The sequence below is a fragment of the Homo sapiens genome, chromosome 22, assembly GCF_000001405.40.
Source record: "Homo sapiens chromosome 22, GRCh38.p14 Primary Assembly".
NCBI classification, from domain to species: domain Eukaryota; kingdom Metazoa; phylum Chordata; class Mammalia; order Primates; family Hominidae; genus Homo; species Homo sapiens.
The window spans coordinates 19,264,318-19,277,079 of NC_000022.11; the positions used below are offsets into that span (position 1 = coordinate 19,264,318).

Below are 12,762 nucleotides of genomic sequence, written 5' to 3' on the forward strand. Positions count from 1 at the left end.
AAAATTGGAACCCTGTGCACTACTGAGAATATAAAATAGTGCAACCACTATAGAAAAGAGATGGCAGTTCCTCAAAAAAATTAAAAATGAATAATGATATGATCCAGTCAATTACTTGTGGGTATAGAATTAAAAGGATTAAAAACAGGTTCCCCAAAAGACATCTGTACACTCATGTTAACAGCGGAATTATTTACAGATCTAGCTTTTTTTGAGGTACTACTATCTCTGAGGTACACAGCTAGAAAAAAAGAGTTAATCTGACTATCCAGTTAGTTAGCCAAGCTACGCAACAACTGATATTATTACAATATTATCATCAATTAGCAAAACTGGTTTTAAACCACAATTTGAGAAATAAGGCTGCTGTTGCTAACAGAAAGTCTTTAATGATATCATGATATACCTGGGCAATAATTAAGATGATTTCTTGAATTCACAAAAAGGAGCAACTCAATGGTGAAATTTCATGCAATTTTTTTTTTTTTGAGACAGAGTTTCGCTTTTGGGGCCCAAGCTGGAGTGCAATGGGTCGATCTAGGTTCATTGCAACCTCCGCCTCCCGGATTCAAGTGATTGTCCTCCTTCAGCGTCCCAAGTAGCTGGGATTATAGGCATACACCAACATGCCCAGCAAATTTTTGTATTTTTAGTAGAGACAGGGTTTCACCATGTTGGCCAGGCTGGTCTCAAACTCCTGACCTCAGGTGATCCACCTACCTTGTGCTCCCAAAGTGCTGGGATTACAGGTGTGAGCCACCGTGCCCAGCCGAAATTTGATACAATTTATATCCAAAACACATGATCAGTAAGATAAAGGCCTGCTGCCATAAAACAGTTCTAAAGTTAGCTATAACTATATTATCAACTTAAGTTTAAACTATATAAATTTATAAAACAACTGCTTTTGGACATAATTTAGGTGTGATGTAGTTTTGCTCTCTAGTCAAAATGGTAAATGTTAGACCCTCACTGTCTTCAGGCACTAACAGCTTATGGTAAATGACTTCTAATCAGACTGAACTAAGATGGGAGCTCAAATCCACAAAAAGAAATAAAGAGCACTGGATATGATAAATATGTTGGTTAGTATAAAGATTTCTCTTAATTTCATTAAATAATATCATTTAAAACCACAATAAAACTACAGGTTGTTGAGTTTATAACATATATAGATGCATATATGCATCTTATTTTCTCTTTTTTAATATATTTTATATATTCATATATATGAATGATAAAAATAGCACAACAGAGGGAGGAGGAAATGAAGCTATGCTGGAGTGAAATTTCTGCATTTTAACAGAAGTTAATATTAATAATCTGAAATCATTTGTGATGTTAGGATGCATTTTATAAACCCTACAGCAACCACCATAAAAATACACATACATACACAAAATAGTAAAAAGAAAAATTCAGAAGAATTAAAATGGTATGCTACATTTTAACAAGAAAGGCACAGGGTAGGCAGCTGTGCGCATGTTCCTGAAGCAGCCTATATACACCTTGCCAGAAGTAGGGTTTTTCAAAACAATCAAGAAAACTAACAAATCTTATTTATTTATTTTTACAGACAGGGTCTCACTCTGTTACCTAGGCTGGAGTGCAATGGCACTATCCCAGCTCACTGTAGCCTTGACATAATGGGCTTAGGATGATCCTCAAGCCTCAGACTTCTGAGTAGCTGGAACCACAGACACGTACTACCACACTGGCTAGTTTTTTGTTTTTGTTTTTTAATTTGTAGAGATGGAGTCTCCCTATGTTGCCCAGGCTGGTCTTGAACTTCTGGTCCCAAGTGATCCTGTCACTTCAGACTCCCAAAGTGCTGGGATTACAGGTATGAGCCACCAGGCCTGACCCAAACCTTAGTTAATGATCAAGAAAAAAACAGAAGACACAAATTATCAAAATTAAGAATGAAAGAGGGCACCACTGCCAACCCCAAAGAAATTAAAAGAAGCGAATATTATGAACAATTTTATGTCAACATACTAGAAGACTTAGATAACCTGGATACATTCCTAGAAAGACACAAATTACCAAAACTGACACAAGAAAACAGAAAATCTGAACAGATTCACAGCAAGTAAGGAAGTTGAATTTGAAATTTAAAATCTTCCCACAAAGAAAACCCCAGGACCAGAAGGCTTTCACTGTTGAATTCTATCAAATACTCAAAGAAGACAGAAATAAGTCCTTCACAGATTCTTTCAGAATATAGAGGAAGAAGGACCTCATTCTCTAAGGCCAACATTTGCCTAATTACAAAGTCACAAAAGGACATCACAAGAAAAGAAAACTATAGACCAATTATAAAAATAACAGAAAACCCTTAGAATATTAGTGAACAAAATCCAACAACATAAAAAAACCACCATACACCATGACCAAAAGAGATTTACCACAGGAATGCAAGGTTGGCTTAATAGCCAATAATTAATTTATGTAATACACCACACTAATAAAGGACACAAACTATGTGATCATCTCAGTAGACACAGAAAATAGAAGGGAACTTCTCCAACTTGATAAAGGATTTATCTACCCCAAATCCACAGCCAACATCATATTTAATTGTAAAAGGCTAAAAACTCCCCCCTAAGGTCAGAAATAATTCAACGATTTCTGTTCTTGTCACTTCTGTTTAATACTGTACTGGGTATTCTAGCCGATGCAATGTTGAAACAAACAGAATCTGGATTAGAAAGGAAGATGTAAAACTGTCTATTCACAGATAACATGATACAGTATGTAGAAAATGCCAAGGAATCCACTAAAAACTACAAGAATAAGTTTAATAAGTATATAGGATACAGAAAAATATACAAAAATTATTTTATTTCTATATACTAGCAAGAAACAATCCAAAAATAAAACTAAGAAAATAAGTCTGTATATAATAACATAAAAAAAGAATAAAATACTTGGGAATAAATTTAACAAAGAAGTATAGGATTTGCTCACTGAATATGCAAAACATCACTGAAAGAAATTAAAGATCTAAATAAACAGAGACATTAAATGACTAGAAGACTTAATATTGTCAAGATAGCAATTCTTACCAAATTGATAAATTCAATGTAATCTCTATCAAAGCCCCAGAAGGATTTTTGTAGGAATTCACAAACTAAACCCAAAATTTATGTGGCAATTCAAAGGATCTCGTTTCAAAGAGTTTCAAAAACTATTTTGAAAAACACTAAGTTGGAGTACCAACACTATCTGACTTCCAAATTACCATAAAGCTACAACTATCAAGTAATCGGTGCAAGAATGGGCACAGATCTGGGTCGGGCACAGTGGCTCACACCTGTAATCCCAATACTTTGTGAGGCTGAGGCAGGTGGATTACCTGAGGTCAGGAGTTCAAGACCAGCTTGGCCAACATGGGGAAACCCCATCTCTACTAAGCATACAAAAAACTAGCCAGGCATGGTGGCAGGCACCTGTAATCCCAGCTACTTGGAAGGCTGAGGCAGGAGAATCGCTTGAACCCAGGAGGCAGAGGTTGCAGTGAGCCAAGATTGCGCCCCTGCACTCCAGGCTGGGTGAGAAGAACAAGACTCTGTCTCAAAAAAAAAAAAAATTAAAACTACAAAACCATAGGCTAAGCACTCTTAGCTATGACTCCAAAAGCATGATCCATTAAAGAAAAAAAAAATAGGTAAGTTGGGCTTTATCAAAATTAGTAAGTTTTGCCCTTCAAAACATATCCTATGGTTTGAATGTTTTTTGTTCTCTCCAAAATGCATGCTGAAACTTCATCCCCAAGTGTTGGGAGATGGAGCCTTTTGGGAGGCAAGCCCTCATGTTCTCACAAAAGAGCTTGATGGAGGGACTTAGGTTCCTTTTTGCCCTTCTGTCACAGTGTTCCTCCCCTCCAGAGGATGCAGCAACAGGGGCCATCTTGGAAGTGGAGTGTGAACCCTTAACAGACACACTATCTGGTAGCATCTTAATCTTGGACTTCCCAGCCTCCAGAACTATGAGAAATAAATTTCTATTCTTTATAGATTTCCCAGTGTCAGCCATTTCATTATAGCAGCACAAACAGACTAAGACAAGATGTCATTAGGAGAATGAAAAGACAAGGTACAGACTGGGAGAAAATATATGTAAATCACATAGCTGATAAACTATGTATATCCAGAATATATAAAGAACTCTTATAATTCAATAATAAGATGGACAACACAATTAAGAACTGGGCAAATATTTAAATAGACATTTCTCAGAAAATATATATAAATGGTTAATAATCATATTTAAAAATAAAAGATATTTAACATAATTAGGCATTAGAGAAATACAAATTAAAACTGCAAAATGCTAGTACACAACCACTGGAATTGCTATAATAAAAAAGATAGTATCAAGTGTTGGCATGGATGTGTGGAGAAACTGGCATCCTCATACATTGCTGATGGGTACATAAAATGAGACAGTCACTTTGGAAAACAGTTGGGCAGTTTCTTAAAAAGCTAAACAGGGCCAGGTGCAGTGGCTCATGCCTGTAATTCCAGCAATTTGGGAGGCCAACGCAGGTGGATCACAAGGTCAGATCAAGACCATCCTGGCCAACATGGTGAAACCTCGTCTCTACTAAAAATACAAAAATTAGCCAGGCGTGGCGGCACATACCTGTAGTCCCAGCTACTCGGGAGGCTGAGGCAGGAGAATTGCTTGAACCCAGGAGGCAGAGGCTGCAGTGAGCCGCGATAGCGCCACTGCACTCCAGCCTGGGTGACAGAGCAAGACTCCTCAAAAAAAAAAAAAAAGAAGAAAAAAAGCTAAACAGGCCGGTAGTGGTGGTTCACGCCTGTAATCCCAGCACTTTGGGAGGCCAAGGGGGTGGATCATGAGGTCAGGACTTCAAGACCAGCATGGCTGAGATGGTGAAACCCCGTCCCTACAAAAAACACAAAAATTAGCCAAGCGCAATGGCAGGTGCCTGTAATCCCAGCTACTTGGGAGGCTGAGGCAGGAGAATCACTTGAACCTGGGCAGCAGAGGTTACAGTGAGCCAATATCATGCCATTGCACTCCAGCCTGGATGGGCGATAGAGTGAGACTCCATCTGAAAAAAAAAGCTAAACAAATTTATCATATGATCCAGCAATTCTACTCCACCCAAGAGAAATGAAAATATATGTCCACATGCACACATATGTTTATTGCAGCACTATTTACAATAGCAAAGACATGGAACCAACCCAAATGCCCATCAGTGATGGACTGGAAAATGTGGTACATACACACCACGGAATACTATGCAGCCACAAAAAGAAATGAGATCATGTCCTTTGCAGGGACATGGATGAAGCTGGAAGCCATCATCCTCAGCAAACTAACACAGGAACAGAAAACCAAACACTGCATGTTCTCACTCATAAGTGGGAGTTGAACAAGTGAACACATGGACACAGCGAGGGGAACAACACACACCAGGCCTGTCAGGGGAGTGGGGGGCGAAGAGAGAGAGAGCATCAGGACAAAGTTAATGTATGCAGGGCTTAAAACCTAGAGGATGGGTTGATAGGGGAAGCAAACTACCATGGCACATGTATACCTATGTAATAAACCTGCATGTTCTGCACATGTATCCTGGAACTTAAAGTAAAATTAAAAAAAAAAAAAAGAAATTGCAGAACAACAACAACAAAGAAAATATGTCCACACAAAGACTTGTCAGTGAGCATTGATAGCAGCAATATTCTTAATAGCTAAAAACTGGAAACAATCCAAATGTCCATCAACTGGTGAATGGAAAAACAAAATGTGGCATATCCATACAATGAAACACTATTAGACAATAAAAAGGAACAAACTACTGATACATGTTATAACATGGATGGACCTCAAAAACACTATGCTAGGTAAAGGAAGCCAGATGTAAAAGACTACATATTGTATGATTCCATTTATTTGAATTGTCTACAAGAAAGTCTGTTGAGGAAGAAAGCAGATGAGTTGCTGCCTCGGGCCGGGAGTAGGAGTGAGAATGGTTCTAAACAGGCATGAGGAAACTTTCTGGGGTTGCAGACATGTTCCAAAACTGTATTGTAGAGATGATTCCACAACTCTATGAATTCACTAAAAATCACCGAGAAGGAGTGAATGTTGGTCGGGCACGGTGGCTCATGCCTGTAATCCCAGCACTTTGGGAGGCTGAGGCAGGTGGATCACAAAGTCAAGAGATCGAGACCATCCTGGCTAACATGGTGAAACCCCGTCTCTACTAAAAATACAAAAAATTAGCTGGGTGTGATGGTGGGCACCTGTAGTCCCAGCTACTCAGGAGGCTGAGGCAGGAGAATGGTGTGAACCCGGGAGGCAGAGGTTGCAGTGAGCCAAGACCATGCCACTGCACTCCAGCCTGGGCAACAGAGCGAGACTCCAACTCAAAAAAAAAAAAAAAAAAAGAATAAGTGAATGTTATGGTATGTAAATTATACTTGAAAAAAGCAGACAAAGAAAGATATAAAAAAAAAATCTGGACCAAAAATTCTTGGTGGTACGCTGTCAGGATGGGGGTACCTTTTAGTGTCAAGCAGCCTTAGATCACAGAGGAAATTTCTTCTAGCTTGAAAACTTGTCAAGTTGTCCTTAGCCTGGTTTAAATGAACATGTGTTTATGAGGCACAAAATATTCAGCATCACTAAAAGGACCAAAAAAGGACCAGCCTTCTTTGGGAAATACTTCAGGTCAGACTTAAGTAGTCTAGGTGAGGAGGGGGCCTCCAGGGGGTGCCATTCCCCCTCTTCTATCCCCCACTGAGCTCAGTGCCAACTCTGCCGCACAGATACTAGATTAGCCTATACTCCATCTACTTCTAAAAATTAAGAGAAAAAAGGTAAAGTTTGTAAAAAGAGATACATATAAATACTGAAAAGGTAATGTGATATGGTTTGGTTCTGTGTCCCCACTCAAATCTCATCTCAAGTTGTAGTTCCCAGTGTTGGAGAGGGACCTGGTGGGAGGTGACTGGATCATGGAGGCAGATTTCCCCCTTGCTGTTCTGGTGATAGTGAGTGAGTTCTCACGAGATCTGATGGGTATAAGTGTGTGTGTGGCTACTCTGGACACACTGCCTGTGGGTTAGCCCTGCTCTGCAAGGAGCAGTTAAAAAAAAGTGTGTGTGTATGGCACTCCCCCTTTTGTTCTCTCTCTACTGCTCCGCTACGGTAAGACATGCTTGCTTCCCCTTCACCTTCTGCCATGATTATAAGTTTCCTCAGGCCTCCTAGCCAAGCTTCCTATATAGCCTATGGAACTGTGAGTCAATTCAACCTCTTTTCTTCATAAATTATCCTGTCTCAGGTAGTTCTTTATAGCACTGTGAGAACGGACCAACACACAATGTTTCATAATAAAATTGACAATATCACACCTGGGCCAGTAATGCAAGGTATCTGCCAACTTTCCCTATAAAAGGACATAAAAGACCTCTGTCTGTTTTGTTTTGTTTTGTTTTTACAACTCCTCATAAAAACCATTCTTGGCCAATTGAGGTGGCTCACATCAGTAGTCTCAGGACTTTGGAAGGCTGAGGTGAGAGGATCATTTTAGGCCAGGAGTTTGAGATCAGCCTGGGCAACATAGTCAGATACCATCTCTACAAAAAATGTTTAAACATTAGCTGGGCATGGTGGCATGTGCCTGTAGTCCTAGCTACTTCAGAGGCTGACGCAGGAGGATCGTTTGAGCCCAGGAGTTCAAGGCTACAGTGAGCCATGATCACATCACTGCATTCCTGCCTGGATGACAGAGAGAGACCTGATCTTAAAACAAACAAATAAAAAACATTCCTAGTTCAGGAGCAAAAAGCAGACCGTTTGCCAATCCCTCAGTTAAGGTGTTCCACTAAAATCACAAGCAACAGATGAGTAATTCTGCCACCACTTCATGCTCTTTAAGTCAAAGGCAAAATGTATCTGGTTTTAAAGAATTCACCACAAATCCGTCAGCAAAGAAAGTATGAACAGAGACTGGGTACTGGGTAAGTGAATCTGCTCCAGGCTTCTCCAGAAAGCCGGGCAATGACGTGGGCTGAGTATCTCTGAGCACTTGGGAGTTCACGGCCAGGCATGAGGACAGGCTGCAATGGTGTCCCTTTTAATTTTTTTTTGAGACAGAGTTTCGCTCTTTTTTGTTTGTTTGTTTGAGACAGAGTTTCGCTCTTGTTGCCCAGGCTAGAGTGCAATAGCACGATCTTGGCTCACTGCAACTTCTGCCTCCTGGGTTCAAGTGATTCTCCCGCCTCAGCCTCCCGAGTAACTGAGATTACAGGTGCACGCCACCACGCCCAGCTAATTTTTGTATTTTTAGTAGAGAGGAGGTTACTCCACGTTCGTCAGGCTGGTCTCGAACTCCCGACCTCCAGGTGATCTGCCTGCCTCGGCCTCCCAAAGTGTTGGGATTACAGGCGTGAGCCACCACGCCCGGCCTTAATTTAATTTAATATTATTTTTAGGGACAGGGTCTTGCTCTGTCACCCAGGCTGGAATGCAGTGGCACGATAATAGCTCACTACAACTTCGAACTCCTGGGCTCAAGTAATTCTCCAGCCTTGGCCTCCCAAAGCACTGGGATTACAGACATGAGCCACCTGGCCTAGCCCTTTTTGTAAAGGGAGGTCCGAGAGCTGCTTCACGAGCCCCTTTCCAATCACAAAACTTCACCAGCCAAAATGGGAAAAATCTGTGAGATACAAGGTGCAGCACCCCCCCACACACCCTGTATTTCTGCACTGGATCCTAGAAGCTAGTCAAGGTGTGTGATATGGCAGAGGACTCTGAGGAGCTCACTTACAAATCAATCATCTCCATCAACCAATCACTATACAAACAACTCTTTCTTCAAAGACAGTTTGCTCATTTTGGTGTAGGGCCTTGAAAACACACTGTACATCCTCCACTTGTCAACGATTTGTACTACAATGATCTGAGATTTTACTGCTACAGAATTAGCAGTAAAAATAAGATAAAGCCTTAAAATTATGTCCCTTTTTGGTTCCAGAGTCTTACACTTCCCCCACGGAAAAGAAAACAAGACTCAACATGTTATAGTTGAAGTGATCTATATGACCATTAAGAACGAAAATAAAAAGCAGCAGCCCCTGCCACCTGGAAGCTGGCCTGGCAATCACAGCAAGGCCATGCTGCTCTCCTGATGGACATAAACCACCTTGGAGAACACCAGCCTCAGGCAAGGGCCCTCTGAGACCACGATCAAGTGAGACACAGCAAGCACAGAAAAAACAAGGTTACTGCGCAACTCACAAAATACCAACACGCCTCTCTTTCAGCTAAAATGAGTGACTGCTACTTCTTTACCCATTATAGCTTTAATCTCACTCTAGTCTTCCCTCCCTAATAGATGAAATTTATTGAGATACGCAATCATAAAAATTACCCCCACTTGCTGCCAACATCCAATCTACAGCAAACCCCTGCTTCCTTAGACTACCCCCTAAATCATCCAACCAAAGCCCAAATCCTATAAAAGGCTCTAACACCTTCTTACTGAGACACTCCCCAGTTCCCCATGGCGTGTGTTCTCTCCCACTGCAACAGTAAACCCACCTTCTTCAACTGCAAGTGTGTTCCTGGTGGTCTTTGGCTGGAAGGGATTGACAACATCTAACTATTGCGTTCTCTTTACTCCCCGACTCCACACCACAACACACACACACACACCCTAGGAGCTCCGCACTGCACATTGTTAAAGAGAACTGTACCAGAAAACCAGGAAGATTAAAATGCAGATCATTTCTGAGACCTGCTGAAAACACTAAACAGCAAACAAAACCGCAAACAACATGCTAAATAAGGCCTCTCAAAAGTACTACAACAAGGCTGGGTACAGTGGCTCATGCCTATAATCCAAGCACTTTGAGAGGCCAAGGCAGGAGGATCACTTGAGGCCAGGAGCTCAAGACCAGCCTGAACAACATGGTGGGACCCCCTTCTCTACAAATATTTTTTTAAGTACTACAACAACATAAAATGCAGAAAAGGGCGACACTGCAAGGCAAATATTCCATCAAAAAGAGCCAAGGGGTAAGTGACAAAGTAAGAGACAGATAAAAGCATCATTAATATCCCATAATTGTAATAATTTCTAACCAAAATCATTTATACTGCTTACACTATATGTTCAAATAATTACTTTGACAAGATTACAAGGGAAAAGGTAGGGTTGGTAATAGAACAAAGATCCTTTCAAATAAAAGAATTTCAGTTATTTCTTTTTAAATAGAAAGGTCTTAACTTTCAGATGTCCTTCTACCTACTGAAATGACCAAGTAGACACTATTTCTGTAATAAAATAGAAGCCTAGGCAAAGCTAATATTTGGCATTCACAAATTTTACCTCCAGAAACAGTTTTTGCTTTTCTTTGTTTCTTTTTTTTTTTTTTTTGAGACCGATTTTTGCTCTTGTTGTCCAGGCTGGAGTGCAATGGCGCGATCTCTGCTCACCGCAACCTCCACCTCCTGGGTTCAAGAGATTCTCCTCAGCCTTCCTGAGGAGCTGGGATTACAGGCATGCGCCACCACGCCCAGCTAATTTTTTGTATTTTTAATAGAGATGGGGTTTCTCCATGTTGGTCAGGCTAGTCTTCGAACTCCCAACCTCAGGTGATCTGCCTGCCTCGGCCTCCCAAAGTGCTGGGATTACAGGCATGAGTCACTGCGCCCGGCCCAGTTTTTGCTTTTCAAAGTAAGTGATACTGCATTTCACACAAAACATTAAGTCTACTGCATACATAATCCTTTTATTTGCCAAATGAAGGCAATATAAGAAGATTCTATATTTTTCAAGATAACTAGAAGGCTTTAAGCACCCAAGACTCCCTGATTTCAAGGAAGTAAAATTCTATTAATTATCAGCTCCTCTATCATTGATGTGTTTCACAGGAGGAAAACCCCCGAGCCTGTGTCGTCGGATGACCGGAAGCACCACTGCAGCAGGCCCTCAGGCAAGGGGGCCACACAGCCTTCCTGGGAAACATGCACAGTGCTGTTGTGCGTTCCTAGTCGCATGAAGACAAAGGCCTGGGCATTTTCTTCCTCTCGGTGTGTCTGGCGCTGTGGGTGATGTTACCAAGAAGCTCTGGTGCTCAGGGGCCTCTTACTAGGGCACACTAAACATAACTTTTGCTAAAACTTTTGGAATTAAGTGGAATACTATTGAGGAGCACTTCGCCATGAGCTTAGTGACACTTGTTCAATATTTAAGGTAACAAAGCAGTTAAAATGAGGTAAGATTCCTTTCTAACAATCCCATCGGGTTTACCTTTCAGAGCTATCACCTTAGAGGCTGGATTCATGATGGCACTCTCTGCAGAGATAGGCCGTCGGATCGGAGCCATTGGGTCACTCATGTCAATGATCGTGACCTGTGCCTGCTCACCAACTTTCTCTCGGATACATATGAACTTGTCAGATTCCATGGTCAGTGTGCTGAATCCAATGTTAGCTGGATTAATTCCAAGGTTTTGGAGCTAAACAGAAAAAAAGCATTTGATTAAATTTTTTTCCTCTGAAATGGACTGACTGTAGCCAAAGGCAAAAGAGGAGAAGTTAAATAAAATTTAGAAAAAAGTTAACATTAGGTAAACACTTGAAGGAAACATTAGCTTGCTTTTCTACGCCTGTAATAGATCCACCCAAGCCTGTGAATCAACTCTCCTTGAGAGATTACCAGCCCACAGTGGAGATAAGACATGTGCAGGATGACACTAGGCAGTGTCAAGGACGCCACAAGTGATACAGACAGGAGGAGATGAGTTGGGGGTGAACTCCCAAAGAACACCATCAGATAAGGTGTCACAGATAAGCCCACCACCGAGGAGAGCTTTGGGAGGAAGGAGGTCTTGGAGAGGTGAAGGCGAGGGAAGTGGAAGGGAAAAAGGGAGGAAACACAAAACCTGATTTCTCCAAAAGGCAAGAAAAAAGAACTGGCCAAAAGTTTTTGCTTAAACATTTCCCTAGATATCATCAAACCTGTCTACATCTGACTTGAATGAATTTCTAAGTCAGTGTGAATACTTCCTGGAGAGTCTGGGGTTAATAAGAAAGTCAGCAGGTTTGGCACATCTTCCAGGGCCGATGGACTGCTACTACTGTGTAAACTGAAACCAAGCACCTTTCTCCAAAGGCCATCTTATACGCAGTGCCTGGGCTAAATCAAGACCTGCTAATGGGATAAGCTTCAGTGAAAAACTCTGGGAAAACACATACTCAATAAATGTTTATCACTCCCACAAAGCACCAAGCTTATTTCTATAAATTTCTCTGCTCTGACCTACCTACAAGACACCTTTATTTACTTATTTACTTATTTATTTATTTATTTTTTGAGCCGGAGTCTCGCTCTGTTGCCCAGGCTGGAGTGCAGTGGTGCGATCTCGGCTCACTGCAAGCTCCGCCTCCCGGGTTCACGCCATTCTCCTGCCTCAGCCTCCCAAGTAGCTGGGGCTTCAGGCGCCCGCCACCACGCCTGGCTATTTTTTGTATTTTTTTTTAGTAGAGACGGGGTTTCACCGTGTTAGCCAGGATGGTCTCAATCTCCTGACCTCGTGATCCGCCCTCCTTGGCCTCCCAAAGCGCTGGGATTACAGGCGTGAGCCACCGCGTCTGGTCGACACCTTTATTTTTAAACACTGTTCTGTTCAGCCCCAATTCTACTGCTACTGATTGGACCACTTAACATCTGTTACCTTGTGTAACCTTGAAGAGGCTCACACTAGC

General features: G+C 41.5%; 1 protein-coding gene across 19 annotated transcripts in view, besides 2 other annotated features; it reads right to left on the reverse strand.

The window, feature by feature from the left end:
- Positions 1–12,762, reverse strand: part of CLTCL1 (clathrin heavy chain like 1) — a 112,247-nt gene that overhangs the window by 84,845 nt on the left and 14,640 nt on the right. For all 19 annotated transcript variants that reach the window (XM_047441517.1, XM_047441515.1, XM_017028954.3 and 16 more), the window contains exon 2: positions 11,306–11,513. In XM_047441517.1, coding sequence (XP_047297473.1) covers positions 11,306–11,513 — 208 coding nt within the window. The remainder of the gene's footprint in view (positions 1–11,305; positions 11,514–12,762) is intronic.
- Positions 10,479–10,980: an enhancer, noted in NCBI's record as "H3K4me1 hESC enhancer chr22:19262319-19262820 (GRCh37/hg19 assembly coordinates)". NCBI's record gives its function as "activates a minimal SCP1, AML or CMV promoter by ChIP-STARR-seq in primed H9 embryonic stem cells {active_cell/tissue: H9 hESC(primed)}" and the evidence as "EXISTENCE:reporter gene assay evidence [ECO:0000049][PMID:30033119]".
- Positions 10,981–11,480: an enhancer, noted in NCBI's record as "H3K4me1 hESC enhancer chr22:19262821-19263320 (GRCh37/hg19 assembly coordinates)". NCBI's record gives its function as "activates a minimal SCP1, AML or CMV promoter by ChIP-STARR-seq in primed H9 embryonic stem cells {active_cell/tissue: H9 hESC(primed)}" and the evidence as "EXISTENCE:reporter gene assay evidence [ECO:0000049][PMID:30033119]".